This window comes from Homo sapiens, chromosome 20 (genome assembly GCF_000001405.40).
Source record: "Homo sapiens chromosome 20, GRCh38.p14 Primary Assembly".
Classification (NCBI taxonomy): Eukaryota; Metazoa; Chordata; class Mammalia; order Primates; family Hominidae; genus Homo; species Homo sapiens.
The window spans coordinates 20,268,368-20,285,621 of record NC_000020.11 but is presented as its reverse complement, the minus strand read 5'-3'; the positions used below and the strand labels follow the sequence as shown (position 1 = coordinate 20,285,621).

Here is a 17,254-nt window from a genome sequence, read left to right as displayed (position 1 = left end):
TTTTATAAAAGGGTGAGCTGCAGTCATCTTATGCCCTAATAGAAAAATAGAGATGATAGAGGAAAGAGTCAGTGAACTTGAAGTTATATGAATAGAAACTGTCCAATTTGAAGAATAGTGAGAAAGAGAAAAAAGAGACTGAAAAAACAGAGCCTTAGAGCCCCAGGGAACAATATAAAAAACTCTTAACAGATATGTAATTGGAATCCCAGGAAGAGAAGAGAGAAGAATAGGGTAAGAAAGAATGGCCAATAACTTGTTAAAATTTAGTGAAAATCATAAATTTATGGATTCGAGAAGTTCAGTGAACGCCAAACAAGACAAATTAAAAACAAAAAAAACAAACCATGCTTAGAGACATAATAAACACAGAATACCCACAGCATCAAATTGCTAAAAACCAAGGATAAAGAGCAAACCTTGAAAGCAGCCAATGGAAAATGACATATAGAGGAATGTTTTAAATGATTGTAGATTTTTAAACAAAAATGCATGGATGTTGGAAGATGGTGGAAAAGCATCTTCAAAGTGCTGGGAAAAAATAACCTATAAGCCCAGAATTCTATATTCAGTGAAAATAAGCGTTAAGAATGAAAGCAACATATATTTTCAGATGGAGCAAAACTAAAGAATTACTTTTTAGCAGACCTACAATACAATAAATGCTCTGAAGCTCATTTAGGCTGAAGGAAGACTTGGATTTTCAAAAAGGAAGATAGAACAAGAAAATTAGTAAATATCTGAGTATCTATAAAAGACTATTCTTTTTAATTCTTCAAAATACATATGACCTTAAAACAAAGATTACAATATTGCCTTACTGATTTTGCAGTGTTTGTAGATGTAAGATATAGGATGGCTGTTAACAAAATAGACATCCAGAATATGGGGAGAAGGAACTGCATAGCTGCAAGGTTTTTACATTTTATGTGAAATGGTACAATATTAACTCTATTGAACATGAAAGATTGCTGATGTGTATTATAATCCATAGAGCAATTACTAAAAGATAAGATATAGTTAAAAAGCCAATTGAAGGCCGGGCGCGGTGGCTCATGCCTGTAATCCCAACACTTTGGGAGGCTGAGGCAGGCGGATCACGAAGTCAGGAGATCGAGACCATCCTGGATAACACGGTGAAACCCCGTCTCTACTAAAAATACAAAAAAATAGCCGGGTGTGGTGGCAGCCGCCTGTAGTCCCAGCTACTCGGGAAGCTGAGGCAGGAGAATGGCGTGAACCTGGGAGGAGGAGTTTGCAGTGAGCTGAGATCGAGCCACTGTACTCCAGCCTGGGCAACAAAGCGAGACTCCATCTCAAAATAAAATAAAATAAAATAAAATAAAATAAAATAAAATAAAATAAAATAAAGAGCCAATTGAAATAGACTACTAAAAAATACTCTAATAATCCTAAAGAAAGCAGGCAAGGGGGAACAGAAAAGAAAGAAGAGGGAACAAACAGTAAACAAATAATAAAATGGTAGACCTAAATCTAACCATATCAGTAATTACATTAAATATTAATGGTCTAAGTACTTTAAATAAAATGCAGAGATAGAAAGGATAAAAAGCATGTGGTAGGCAGAAGTCTAAGGTGGTTCCCAAGATTCCACCTCTTCCTTAAGTACAAGCATGAACTGTGAATGTGTAAGGTGATGTTATATGGCACATGTGACTTTAAGACAGGGAGATCATGCTCAGTGGGTCTGACCTGATCAGGTAAACCTTAAAAGGGACCAGGCTTTTTCTGAAGAAGGATTTGAAATATGAAGGGAATTTGACATGAGTAAGATTCTCTGTTGCTGGATTTAAGATGGAAGGGGCCATGAGGCAAGAAATATGAATGGCTTCTAGGAGCTGAGAGTAGCCCCTGGCTGGGCCAGCAAGGAAGTGGGGACCTCTGTCCTCAGCTGCAAGGAATTAACTTCTATTACTATCACACAAGTCTGGAAGAGGACTTCAAGCTCCAGATAGAATGCAGCCTGATTGGCACCTTGATTTTAGCCTTAAGAGTCCCTAAGCAGAGAAGCCAGCCACACCTTGCCTGCATTTCTGACTAGAGCTATAAACTAGTAAATGGATGTTATTTTAAGCTGCTAAATTTGTGGCAGTTTGTCATGCAGCACTAAAAACATTAATATAATCTTTATGATGCCTACAAGAGACACACTTTAGACACAAAGACACAGATAAGTAGAAAGTAAATGGATGGGAAATATATCATGTAAACAGTAAGCATAAGAAGAATGGAATGGTCATATTAGTATCAGATAATCTGGACCTTAAGATAAGGGATATTATTAAATATCAGAGATAAAGAGGAACATTTCATAATGATAAAAGGCACAATTCACAAGGCAGATATAACAACTATAAATGCTCATGGGCTTAATAACAGAGCCCCCAAAAAGATAAAGCAAAAATCAAAAGAATTAAAAGGAAAAACAGAGACTTCCACAATAATAGTAACAGATTTTAATACCCTTCTCTCAGCAATTAATAGAATGAGATAAAAATATCAGTAAAGACTTATGAGCGTCGAACATCACCGTCAACCATATTGAACTAACATTAAACTCAACAAGCACATAATACGTAATACATATTCCTTATATGTTCACAAAGTTAGTCCATATGCTTGGACATAAAACAAGTCTCAATAATTTTTTTTTTTTTTTTTTGAGACAGGGTCTTGCTCTGTCGCCCAGGCTAGAGTGCAATGGCGCCATCTGGGCTCACTGCAACCTCCACCTCCTAGGTTCAAGAGATTCTCCTGCTTCAGCCTCCCGAGTAACTGGGATTTCAGGCATGTACCACCATGCCTGGCTAATTTTCATATGTTTAGTGGAGACAGGGTTTCACCATGTTGGGCAGGTTGGTCTTGAACTCCTGACCTCAAGTGATCTGCCCACTTAGGTCTCCCAATGTGCTGGGATTACAGGTGTGAGTTACCGTCCCTGGCTCTAAATCTTAAAACACTGTTCTCTGATCACAACAGCATTACACTAGAAATCAATTAAAAATATAATATTTAGGAAAACCTTAAATATTTGAATATTAGAGAATCCAGTTCTAAATAATCCAAGGTTGAATAAAAAATCACAGGGAGATTAGAAAATATTTTGAATTAAGTGATAATTAAAAGTTAACATATGAGTTTATGGGATGCAGCTCAAACATAATGGAAAACTTATGCTGAAATGCTTATATAAATCAACGACTTAAGGCTCTACCTTAAGGAACTAGAAAAAAGAAGGGTAAAGTAAATCCAAAGCAAGAAGAAGGAAGAAAATAATTAAGAGCAGAAATCAATAGAGGAGAAAACTGACAGATAATAGAGAAAATTAACAAACTCAAAAGCTGGTTAATTGAAAAAGATCAATAAAATTGACAAACCCCTATCTACACTGGGAGAGAGAGAGAAAGAGAGAGAGTCAGAGACAGAGAGACTGGCAGCAAACAGAGAGAGGGTCAGAGAGACTGAACACAATTCACCAATATCAGAAATAAATGAGGGGTTATTACTACAGATCCTAGACATCAAATAGATAACAAAATAATATGTGAAAAACTTAATGCCAACAAATTTGACAAATGTAAATGAAATGGACAAATTTCTTAAAAATTACAACTTACAAAAATTTATAGAAGAAGCAGAAAATTTGAGTAGCCTTATATCTAGTTAAAAAAATGAATTTGTTATCAAAAGCCTTTCAACAATATAAACTCCATGCCCAGATTGTTTCACTGGTTAATTCTGTCAAACGTCCAAGAAAGAAAAAATACCAATCTTGCACAAACTTTTTCAGAAAATAAACAAGGAGGGAACATTGCCCGAATTTTTTTATAAGGCCAACACAGCTCGAACACCAAAACCTTACAAGGACATTACTGAAACAGAAAATTCTATATCAACATCCCTCATGAATATAGTTGCAAAATAGTTTCAAAAATTCTTAAAACATATTGGCAAATAAAATTTAGGAATATATAGAAAGATAACGCATTATGACCAATTAGGTTTCATTCCAGAGATATAAGGCTGGCTGAACATTTTCAAAAATCGATCAACGTAATTCACTGTATTAAAGAATTAAGAAGAAAATTTCCATATTTCTTTTTAAGAAATATGGAAAATTCACTTAACAAAATTCAACAGCCGTTCATGATAAAAACCTCTAAACAAACTAGGAATGGAAGGTTACTTCTTCAGTCTGATAAAAAGCACCAAAGAAAAATCCACAGCCAAATTATCTCATATTTAACAGTGAAAGCCTGAAAGTTCTCTCTGGGATATGGAACAAGGCAAGGATGTCTATTTCCCCCACTTTTATTAAACATTGCACTGTAGGTCCTAGTGAGTAGAATAAAGCAAGTAACTGAAATAAAAGACCTAAATATCAGAAAAGAAGTAGTAAAACTGCCTCTATTTGCATGACATGTTTATGGACCTAAAAAACAACTACAAAAGCTAATAAGAGAATTTAGCATTTTCAAGTTACAATGTTTATACAGAAAATAAATTGCATTTTGTAAACCTGCAGTGATCAACTGGAAATTTCAAAATTTTAAATACATTTATAATAGCTTGAACATTTCACAAAAAGGAGAAATACTAATGGCTACTAAAAAAACGAAAAGATACCAAACATAATTAATTGTCAGGAAAGCACAAATTAAAAAAAACACAATGACACACCATGCCACACCCACAAGAGTGACTAAAATTTGACAACACCAAGTGCTGACAAGAACGTGGAGTATCTGGAACTCTCATACATTGCTGATGGAAATGTAAAATGGTATAGCTACTTTGGAGAGCAACATGGCAACTTCTTAAAAAGGTCAACATTCACCTACCATATGACTTAGACAATCTCTAGGTTTATAGCTAAGAGAAATAAAAATATTATCCACACAAAGGCATGTACCAGAATGTGCATAGCAGGCAAATAAATAAACAAAATGAGATATATCCATACAATGGAATACTACTTAGCCATAAAAAAGAATGAACTATTGATACATGGAACTATATGGAATCTCAAAATCACCATGCTGAGTAAATGAAGCCAAATAGAAAAATAGTATATAATGTATGATTCTGGTTATCAACATCATAGTTTTAGTAGGTACATACACTGTGACATCATCTGCTTTCGTTTCCTAGGGCTGCTGTAATGAAGTACCACAAACTGGGTAGCTCAAGACAAGAGAAATTTATTCTCTCACAGTTCTGGAGAATCCAAGTATTGTCAGGAACATGCTCCCTCCAGAGGCTCTAGGGAAGAAGGCTTCCCTGCCTCTTCCTACTTCCTGACGGTTGCTAGCAATTCCTGCCATTCCATGACTTGCAGCTGCCATCACACCAACCTCTGCCTCCACTGTCGTGAGGTTTTCTTCATTGCGTGTCCCTGTATGCCATCAAATCTCTCTATTTAAGGACACCAGCCATTGGATTTAGGGCCAACCTTGATCCAGGATGACTTTCTCTTTACTTGCTTACATCGACAAAGGCTTTATTTCCAAATAAGGTCATGTTCACTGGTACTGGGGGTCAGGACATCAACATATCTTTCTAGGGGATGTAATTCAACTCATGACACCAAGACCATAGTGAAGAGGATGGACATATTCATCCCCACCAAAAAGTGCTTAATGCCCTGACAGATGCTGCCCAAAGCAGACAGTATGAGAGATACCTACCCTGACTCCCCGCTTCCCATGTTTAATCTCCCACAGGTACAAACTATTGTTCAAATAGAGATGAAAATCAGAGAATAATGGAACCTGGGAAATGTCATCTGCAGGGGCCATTCTTTGTGAGACCAAGCAGACCAGGGAAGGTAGGAGAAAGAATATAACAGCAAACAAGCCAATGTCTGACTCAGACGGTGTTAGGATGAAAATGTAGCAGGAAGGTGCCTTGGATCAAGACAGTTGAGGTTACAGCTGACCCTTGGGCAACATGGATTTGAACTGTGTGTCACTTATGCATAGATTTTTTTTCTGCCTCTGCCATCCCTGAGACAGCAAGACCCACCCCTCCTCTTCCTTCTCTTCCTCAGCCTACTCAACGTGAAGACAATGAGGACGAAGATCTTTATGATGATCCACTTCCACCTAATGAAGAATAAATATATTTTCTCTTCCTTATGATTGTCTTAATAACATTTTCTTTTCTCTAGTTTACTTTATGGTGAGGATAGAGTATACAATACATATAAAATACAAAATACATTTTCATATAATCAACTGTTTATGTGACCAGTTAGGCTTCTGGTCAACAGTAGGCTTTTAGTAGCTAAGTTTTTGGAGAGTCAAAAGCTCTATGTGGGTTTTCAACTTTGTGAGGAGGGTTGCTGCCCTTACTCCTCATGTGTTCAAGGGTCAATTTAATTTGCCAGATGTTTTTGTCAGGAGTTTGATTCTAATCTGAATAGGAAAGTGAAGGTCAGAAGAGCTGCTATCCAATGGGATGTTTGGGGAGGTTTTCTCAGGCCTCTGCTTCCTGAACAAGGCACACACTCACCTCTAGAGGTGCTCCAGAATAAACGTGGCAATCTTCCAGGTTTGCCATTTTTGAGGGAAAATTTGTGCAAAAATATTTTGATATTTCCTGTCTTAAATAGGTGTCATGACATACATGTATAGACAGTATCACTTTTTAAAATAAAGTGGACTTGTCCTGTCTTTTTCACTGTTACATCCCTAACATCGAGGACAGAGCCTGGGACCTAGCAGGTGTTCAATAAATATTTATGGAATGAATGAATAAATGAATGAACTACAGAGTAGAATACACAATTTCCATGGATCTCAGGATAAAATGAGAGATTCTAAAAAAAATCTTCCTTTTTAGTCTTTTTCAGTGGTCTGCTTTGAGCCCCTGTCCTTTGAGTTCTGGGTTGGGGTGGGGGTGAGAGCCACCATTCTCAATCCTTAGCAGCACCTGAGTGAGAAGCCCTGACTTAGGCTGATCACCCCCCACTCCTAGGTAAGGGCCTGCTGTGAATGCCTGCCCCTAAATGGCTTGCCCACTGGATGTTAGCAGGCATTCTTTATCACAACCGTTAACACACACCCTTGACCTACACAACCATTATCCTCATACCGACCTCAGCTTCCCTTTCGAGCAAGGTTCCCCTGCTTCTCAGTGAGATGGACCGGCCCCTTCCCTCCTTCCCTCCCTGAGGGCTTCTACTAACCTCCTAAGCTGTAAACTCTGAGGGTGCAGGCTGGAAGGTGGGGTGTCACCCACCTGGAAAGGAAAGTGCTCTCTCTATACACATTGCCAGAAGTTGTGTGTCATGGGGAAAGACTCACCACTGCTGTTGCCAGAATCTTAAGAGGTTAATGGCAGCATAGACCTTGGGCTGGGCAGGGAACCAGCAGTGCCACTGACTTAGAGCCACAGCGTTCTCTGTAAACTGGGGATACTTCCCTTTACAGAGCTGTCCTGATGAGTTGACAGAATGTCCTGGGGCATGGCAAGCTCTCCGTAAAGAGAAGCGCTCTCCATTCAAATCTTTGACCTCCATGAACAGGCAGGGTTTAATTTCCCACTCCTTGAATATGGGCTGGTCCTGGCAACTTGCCTCTAGCAAATAGAATGTGGTGGGAGGAATGCTGCTTGATTTCAGAGGCCAGGTCATCCAGGGTGACACAGCTGACACTGCCTCTCTCTCCACTCTACCCTCAGACCCAAACCACCATGTTGTGAGGAAGCCAGTCCCATGAAGGGGCCACTTCTAAGTGTTCTGGTGAAAATCTCAACTAAAGTTGATTCAGGATCAACAGCCAGACATGTGAGTGACTATGCTTTTGAGACAATTCCAGCCCACCCACTGCTGACTTCAGCCGCATGAGCGACCTCAAGTGAGAACTTCCCAGCTGAGTCTGGCCAAAGCCAGAAGAGATAAGGATAATAAAATAATAATAAAAAACCAGGAGAGATAAGAATAATAAACGGTTGTTGTTGCTTTATGCCACTGAGTCTGGGGTGGGTTGTTACCCAGCAAGAGGTAATCTGAACACACAGAAAACAAAATCCAACATCTGGTACTACAAATTCACTGCCCGCAATCTTCCAGACCCCCAAATCCCTTGGAGATGTCCTCTGTCCCTGGCTGGTGAGTGAGGTTTGCAGGGACCCACTTACAGAGCACTGGAGTCTGAAAGGCTTGGTGGGTGTGGTGAAGGAGGCGCTGTAGATGGGGTCTGGGTGCAGGCCGTCATTCCACTGGGCCAGGATCGCATCCCGGTACATAGTGACTCCGGCGGCTCCTAGCGCGTCCGCCACGGCGCTCTCCACCGAGTAGTTGTTGATGCAGGTGATGGTGGAGGCGGGCGGGGGCTGCACGAGGTGGATGCGGCTGCCGCTCACGCCAAGGTTTAAGAGCGTCTCCACGGTGGTGTAAGTATCAATTGTATTCCCATAGACAATGATATTCCCTAGGAAAGAAGGGAAAACGCTAAGATATACAGTTCAGAAAACCAAAAAACCTTAGTCAAATGCTAATAATGCCGAATTGCTCCGTATAACCCTCTCATTTTTCAGCTGCAGGAAGCCAGCGGTGTTACCTAGCAACGGCGACCAAGATCATTTAGTAAAGAATCAGCACAAAACATCCCACAAAGTAGTCAAGTACTTTTAATGCAGAAGTAGGACATTCATTTATGTTCCTCTAATTTGAAGTTGAAATTAGGCTGAAAGAAACTGTCTAGAAAAAAACCTTTTATCTTGCTTTTGTTCCCAATTTGCTATACTTATTAAGGAAACCAAATTACTAATGTTGGCAATGTATACTAGTTCTTCCTTACAGACAAAAAGGCAATGGTAAAAAATATTCATGCTCATGATGTTACTGATATTTTAATATTTAAATGTTGAACTGGATTGATTTCAAGGAAGTTTTCCCTTTTTTGAGAATTAAAGGCCAGAACATTCTGCTTTTCACCAGATAATTTTACAAAGATTCAACCCTGATTTTTAGAATATAATGTGTCAAGACCTAGCTAGAGGGACTGAAAGACAGTATTTTTGTTAGCAAAAATAAAATCACAAAATAATCTTGACAGATTTCCCTTGTGTAAGAGCATTTTGATGATAAATAGTCTATACTATTTACATTTCTCAAAAAGACTACAGAAGCAATTACATATGCTATTCTACTATTTTAGCAGTTTTAAGGTCAATGACACTATTAAATTAATGAAATGTAGTATATGCTATTTTTGACATTGAATTGGCATTTTCACATTTTCACAAATAAACTGCTGTAGACTCATTTTCCAGGTAAGATATACCAATTTTACCACAAAATGTACACTTCATTGAATGTCTCTCTGTTTTTCTCCTGTTCATGAAATAATATGAAAAGGAATTTTACAAGCCAAAATAAATGGCAAGTGTATTAATTTGATTTGGTTGAGGAAATCATGCCCAAATTGTTTTCAATCCAAAGTTGAAAGGAAGTGTGATGGCTTGTCTTGTTTGCTTAGGAAAAATAAACTACAGTAACTTTCAGATGGCTTCTTGGAAGCTAACAGCATCTAGAAAATTCTCCCATACTCCCTGCTCTTCATCTATGGAAAGCCAAGAAGGCACTGAAGTGAGGGAGTGGGGTCTCTCCATTCCTGCCCTCGCTAGGACGCTAGGAGAGTTTTATGGCTATGACCCCCACTCTGTTCAGATGCTACAATGCAACATTCCTTGGTGAGCTGCATTTTCCTTGGCTGAAAGAGGCAACATTTTGCTTAAATTATTGAGGCTCCCAGCTGCTACGAAACATGAATCTTGGCTGTCTGGCACAACAAAGAATCAGCCTGCAAGGAAAGGCAAAACTTGAACCGAAAACTATAAAAGGTTTTAGGTCTTCTGTCCTTTTGAAATAGGCAAGCCAAAACAATATTCATTTTCAGTTGAACGAATTTAAGTGTGTTTAGGTCTCACACAGCTAAGGATTTTGTATTTTCTGGTCTCTTTCATGATGGCTGTTAGCAGCTCTACTGTGAGCTGGGCTTATTCTTCACAGGCTCATGGAAAACTGGGCCTGTGGTGCTGCTGGGGTTTGGAGAGGTGTCTGATCCAGCAAGGGTGGTCCACGGACTGCAGGCAGCTGGAGAGGACGATACTTTTCAATTCCAAAGGTAATACATTTTGTAAAATATCTGATTTCAAAATTACAGGTTTATTTCTAGATAATGTGACTTCTAAACAGTTTTGGCTACCTTTATGTTTAACAAAAATATGAGACTTCGGTTATCTTAAGAGTCAGTTATCATCATAATAATGCTGCATAGCAAACCACGTCAAAACTCAATGTCAAACAAGAAGCACGTTGTGGGTGGTCTACACACCTGTGGGTGGACTGATGTCAGCTGATCTGGCTCTAGGTTGTGGCTGGGTTTGTTTGCACCATGTGTGTTTCATCCTGCTTGGATTGACAGCTACCTGAGGCATTTGCTATCTATGGGGAAATGCAGGTGCACAGAAAGGCAAGCACAAGGGCCCAGGCACATGTCAAGCCTCTGCCCACATCATATCCACTAACATCCCATTGACCAAAGCAAGTGTCATGGTCATGCCCATGAGCACGGGAGTGAGGACGTCCACTCTGCCCACACAGGAGGGAGAGAAGGATGAATATTTACTGACCAGCAGTGCAAACCAGCATGGTCATATGGGAGATGACTGCCTGAGTGATTTCATCTCAAACTTTTCATTTAAACAGGCTTTCTAAGACTAGTTATAGTTCTTTCATTTCCCATAAAATATAGTAGAATGCCGTGATAATATAATGTTATATTAAATAAATAAAACATGTTACAGGTCAAATCACATCCTTCCACAAATAGAATAAAACATGATAAAAACTAGTTATTAATATGTAAGATGGCCTACTATTCTTGACCAGGTCCACCTCTTGCCTTTTTTTTATTTTCATTTTTATTTTTCGAGACAGAGTCTCGCCTGTTGCCCAGGCTGGAGTGCAGTGGCGCGATCTCAGCTCAGTGAAACCTCCACCTTTCAGGTTCAAGCCATTCTCCCACCTCAGCCTCCTGAGTAGCTGGAATTACAGGCCCGCACCACTATGCCAGGCTAATTTTTGTATTTTTAGTAGAGACGAAGTTTTGACATGTTCACCAAGCTGGTCTTGAACTCTTGACCTCAAGTGATCTCCCCACCTTGGCTTCCCAAAGTGCTGGGATTATAGACGTGAGCCTCTGCATCTGGCCCAATTTCTTGCCTTTAAATGTCTCCATTCTGTGGGAGGTTATTCTTTTCATAATCTTTGTGCAGTTGTGAGTTCTTTCTGCAACACTGCTCACATTTACTTTGTAAAGGATTTTTAGATCCAGTTCATGTTTATCTCTGTACTCCTCTATGCCAGGCACAAAGTTAGGTACTTTTATACATAATCCCTCATATTGTTATCATTATTGATAACAATAGCATTTAGAACTGTGAACAATAACATGGGTTTCACTCAAATGCCCATATATAATGTTGTCATACAGCAAAATATAAGCATGGTGCTAACTCTTAGAATAACCAAAGTCTTATATTTTGGGGCCCCCTCCAGAAAAAAGCCTAGTAGACAAAAACTTTGATTATTCATTTTGGGACAAATCAAACTGGTTTAAAAATATGATTACTTACATTTATCAGAGTAATTTACTAATATGGATGAGCTGGAACCAGTGCTTCTGAAGAGCCCATGTCAAGGCCTCAGGCTGCCCACAGCTATATCTGGGCCCCACAGACTGTCCAGCCTCCAGGCAGGTGAGGCCCCAGCAGGCCTGTGGGCGGTCTCCACCTTTCCTTCCCAGCACTCACCATGGCCTACGCAGCCAGGCTACAGCCAGGCTTCGCAGCGAGATGACTTGTTTGGACTGTAAGGTCCATGTTTGCCCTACCCATCATGTTATCCCTGGAGCCTAGCACAGTGCCTGTGGCCTACACTAGATGTGACTGTAATTATCACCACAGTACTATTTCCTGACCAGATACATGGATATATGTCAGATATTTATTAGATTGCTGATCCTAAGACTTTCTTCCTGCTAGCTGGATCATACTTTTGGATCCTGTAAATATTTAGCACAAAATGACTCACTGTAGCCAGATTTTCCCAGCACATATTTCTGCTTGGTATTCACTACTAAGTTGGCACTATAAGAACTATCCAGTCACAGAATGGGCTATACACCTGAGATATGTAAGATAGAAATATGTTCCCCTTAACGATGTTAGATCTGGTTATTAGGTTTCCAGTGTAGGCTCATAAAATCCCACATAGTCCCTAATGTAACCAAAATTGTGTGTGCCTACAACAAATGATAGATATAAAATAATACTCCTGTCATATTGGTGGCATTTAAGCTCAGGGAAACAAGAAATTACGTCTTTAATGTGCTATTTAAAGAAAGACAGGGCTGAATGTAGTGGCTCATGCCTGTAATCCAAGCACTTTGGGAGGCCAAGACAGGAGGACTGCTTGAGGCCAGGAGTTCGAGGCCAGCCTGGGAAACACATCATAGCCCTGTCTCTACAAAAAAAAAAAAAAAAAAAATTAAGCATGGCACGCACCTCTAGTCCTAGTTACTCAGGAGGCTGATATAACTTCTGGGAATTTGTAGAAGTTTGAGAGATTTCCACCCCTGGTTTTCTTTTAGATGTAAACGTGACGTTGGATGACCAGGCTTTCTTATATTTTATATGGAAGTAGCAGTTGGGTAACTCATTTTGCAACGGTTAAGTCAATTTTGGGCTGAATCAAGAAGGAGATATGGGGAAGGAAGGAAATGGAGAGAGAAAGAAAGGGGGGCAGAGACACAGTCAAACAGTAGGTGCCTCAGAGAAACAGATCTTCCTGAATCCCTGGGTAAGAGCTGGAAGGAAGAAAGTGTTTAAAAGTATGTGAGAGAAAGCAGCTGCTGGGCGGGACAAACCGAGGGCAAGTGAATAATGACCGGAGCCGGGGGACACTCTGTTGGCTGTGCCTGAGGGAGGTGTTGGGGCTGACAGTTATGTGTCCCAGTATGTGCAGGGGGTGTCTGGGCCTCCACTGGCACAGAACAGCGTGATAGCTGTATAGACAGGTAAGATAGCCCCAGTTATGGGGGGCCTATGACATATGTTCTTTGATAGCATGCTTTTATTTTATAATTAATTAATTTATTTATTTCAAGACAGAGTCTCACTCTGTAGCCCAGGCTGGAGTGCAGTGGCACCATCTCGGCTCACTGCAACTTCTGCCTCCTGGCATGCTTCAGCCTCCTGAGTAGCTGGAACTACAGGCACCCACCACCACACACGGCTAATTTTTATATTTTTAATAGAGATGGGGTTTCACCATGTTGGCCAGGCTGGTAGTGAACTCTGGGCCTCAAGTGATCTGCCTATCTTGGCCTCCCAAAGTGCTAAGATTATAGGCATGAGCCACCACACTGGCCTACAGCATGCTTTTAATAAGCCGGAAAACTTCAGTTAATTAAATATGAATTTATTTATTTAAATTTTAATTTTCTGGATATATAGTATGTCCATATTAAAGATGAATTTAATTCATGTATACCTACCATTGTGTACTTTATAACTCATGGAACCTTCCTTCACATTACCGGAATATCACATACACTGTTTTTGAAGTTTCTAGACACATATAAAAGAAGTAGAGTGGAAAAACTGATGATTTCCCCTGGATATCAGTTTTATGCTAAAAGATTTAGTCACTGTTTCCTTCCCAGATCAGCTTACCTAACAGATGAGAAATGACCAGCTTTTGCTCTCGATTTAACAGGTGACAGAGGTAAAGGATGGGCTGCCCCACTTTCAAATGGCAAATAACAAATGATAAGAACACTCTGGGTGGATTCCCCATAAAGGATAAGGGAATATAACCATGGCAGTTTTCATGGAAGACCAATCTTTGTTGCTCCTTTTAGCGAATAAATCGTGCATTACTCTGATTGCAGATCTGAGACGGGCAGTAGGGTCCAGGCAGAGCACCCGTAAAAAGGCGACTGTGTGGAAGCTCCGAAAATTAAAGCTGGCAAGCAAGAAGGAGCCCGAAGTCATTCTCGCACTGCTAACCAGTGGCAGCCTTTGAAACAGAATGTGCAAGGGTGCTTCCTAGAGGAAGGAGGGTGTCAGCGTCAACAGCCCAACAGGGGAGAGAGAGACGGAAAGTGATGATGCAGTCAATATCTGAGTGAGCTGTCAATTCCCCACTTCAGACTGAAGGGAACTAGCACTTGCCAATTAAAATGTTGGTAGAAATGTAGAGATGACCTTTTTGTTTTTGTTTTTGTTTTGTTTTAAGATGGGGTCTTGCTGTCACTCAGGCTGGAGTGTAGTGCACAACCATAGCTCACTGCAGTCTCAAACTCCTGGGCTCCAGCAATCCTCCTGCCTCAGCCTCTTGAGTAGTTGGGACTACAGCCACGTGCCACTATGCCTGGCTAGTTTTTAAAAAAAACTTTTGTAGAGATGGGGTCTTGCTATGTTGACCAGGCTGGTTCCAAAATCCTGGCTTCAAGTGATCCTCTCACCTTGGCCTCTCAAGGTGTAAATGAACAAATCAGCAACTTTGACAGTGACCATGCACATAAAGCGATCACATTTTAAAGTTTCAACCTGGGGCTGGGTGCGGTGGCTCACGCCTCTAATCCCAGCAATTCGAAAGGTTGAGGCTGGCAGATCACTTGAGGTCAGGAGTTTGAAACCAGCCTGACCAAAATGGTGAAACCCCATCTCTACTAAAAACACACAAAAATTAGTTGGGCATAGTGGATCATGCCTGTAGTCCCAGCTACTCGGGAGGCTGAGGTAGGAGGATCATTTGAACCCAGGGCACAGAGGTTGCATGAGCCACAATTGTGCCACTGGGGGGTGACAGAGACAGGCTCTGTCTTAAAAAAAAAAAAAAAAAGAATAATGCACCAAGATGCAAGAAGTTCTTCAATTTATGTTAATCAAGGGGGAAAAATGCCAGTTTCATCATCCTGGTTCCTAAAGGCAGTATGTAAGAGTTTCAGGAGTTAGAAAACAAGTAATTAAAGGTAAAATGACTTCGCAGGAAAGGAAAACTAAGTTGATTTCCCTATTAAGTTCAAGAAGTAAAATAAAGTGCTAATTCTTTTAGTCATAGATGTACCCTAAAAGTAATGGGACAACTTTTAAAGAAATTATTTTTAGTAGATGCTAAAAAGTCATTTTATTCTTTTGAACTGAGTGCTTGACTTTAAAACATCTGGAAATTGTGCTCTGCTGTCATTTCATGGTCACGCTCAATGCTATAAAGATGAAGCTTCTCCATGGAGAGAATCGGGACTTGGAGGGAAAGATTTGCTGGTCTGGTGGTCTGGCCATGAAGTTAGATCTCAAGAGTATAAGAAATAAATTCAGGATTTATGCACACAATATTAACATGAAGTTTTCTTCATAGTTATTATATTTTTAAGGCCAGAGAAACAAGAATTATATGTTACATTTTATAGTTTATATATTTTAAATTATGTCTATGCATATTTACCTATTCTTTTGTATTTTAATGAATAATTATGTTTCCTTTTTCTGCTTCAAAACAGACATACAGTGGTTACATATGACTCATTCATCCTCACAACAGGCCTGTGAGACAGGGTTTATCATTTTATCCAGAAAATAAGGTACAGAGAGGTTAAATCTTGAGCTCAAGGTCAGGTCACATGGCAAGCAGGTGGGTCACCAGGACTCAAACCCTGTGAGTCTATTTCAAAATCAGGTCTCATAGCACTGCAGTACACTTGCAGATGGATATGTAACACGTTACTAAAATATACTCCAACTGGCATTTTATATGGGTAAATATCTTCAGCAAATAACTAGATAATGAAATATTTTTAAGTAGCAATCACAGATTATTAATAAATTGTGAAATAAACACTCATTAAAAAACAGGCCAGGAGTGGTGGCTCATGCCTGTAATCCCAGCACTTCGGGAGGCGAAGGCGGGAGGATCACTTGAGGTTAGGAGTTTGAGTCCAGCCTGGCCAACATGGTGAAACCCCATCTCTACTAAAAATACAAAAATTAGCCGGGTATGGTGGTGCATGCCTGTAATCTGAGCTTCTCAGGAGGCTGAGGCAGGAGAATCACTTGAGCCTGAGAGGCAGAGGTTGCAGTGAGCCTAGATTGCACCACTGCACTCCAGCCTGGATGGCAGAGCAAGATTCTGTCTATATATGTGTGTGTATATATATATATGTACACATATACATATATGTGTATGTTACATTTTATAGTTTATATATTTTAAATTATGTCTATGCATATTTACCTATTCTTTTGTATTTTAATGAAATATATATGTATATATGCACATATACGTGTATATATATACATATATGTATATATGTGTATATATACATATATGTATATATGTGTGTGTATATACATATATGTATGTGTGTGTGTGTGTGTGTATATATATATATATATATATATATATATAGCCCACGAATAGAACCAGACAATGCGCTTTTTACTTTTTAGAAGCCAAAGCATAAGATTTCTATGCCCAAAACGTGACCTGTCCCGTTCTGCTCTGCTGAATAAAAAGGGAAGAATATATTAGATATAACATAACAAAGCCTCTGTTCGATGATGCATGCAGTGGAATTTTAATGTTATACTTTTCCTACAAACATGCTTTTAATAAGGCAGTAAACTGTATTTAGCTAAAGATGAAAATAATTGATCCATTTTGAGCCATTAAGGTAGTTTATTTTTTTTACTTTACTTTCATCCTACTTTTCATTTTCATGGAAAGTACAGAGGTAATAGCAGATGAATTTCAATTAGTTTCAATTAGTGCCATAAATTGTTATAATGTATCGGGTTGCTGGGTTCTATCAGAAACCCCCCAGCAGAACACTCCAGGTTTTGTTTGCAGTTGAAAGCAGCATTTGAGCCTGTGATGTCAGCTCTTCTCCATGGCACTAGAGCAGTTCTAATAGTTTAGGGTAATTTACTTCTATAAATCCATCCAACTCTAGAGCCCGGAAAACCATGTCCTCTGGATGGACTAATTCCATCACAGAACCACTGTGTTCTCCTTTGGAAGCAGAAGATGTGAAATACAACAGTGACTGTGGGAAGGAGCTACTCTCTGGGGTGGTATCTGTGTGCGTCTGCAATGGGTAGAAGTTCAAAGGAGAGCCGACTTCCTCCTGGGAGTATCTCTTGTTCTTGATGCCCAATA

General features: G+C 39.7%; 1 protein-coding gene across 1 annotated transcript in view; it reads right to left on the bottom strand.

Annotated features, from left to right (window-relative positions):
• Positions 1-17,254, bottom strand: part of CFAP61 (cilia and flagella associated protein 61) — a 308,167-nt gene that overhangs the window by 75,077 nt on the left and 215,836 nt on the right. Inside the window, exon 22 of the mRNA NM_015585.4 lies at positions 8,164-8,456. Coding sequence (NP_056400.3) covers positions 8,164-8,456 — 293 coding nt within the window. The remainder of the gene's footprint in view (positions 1-8,163; positions 8,457-17,254) is intronic.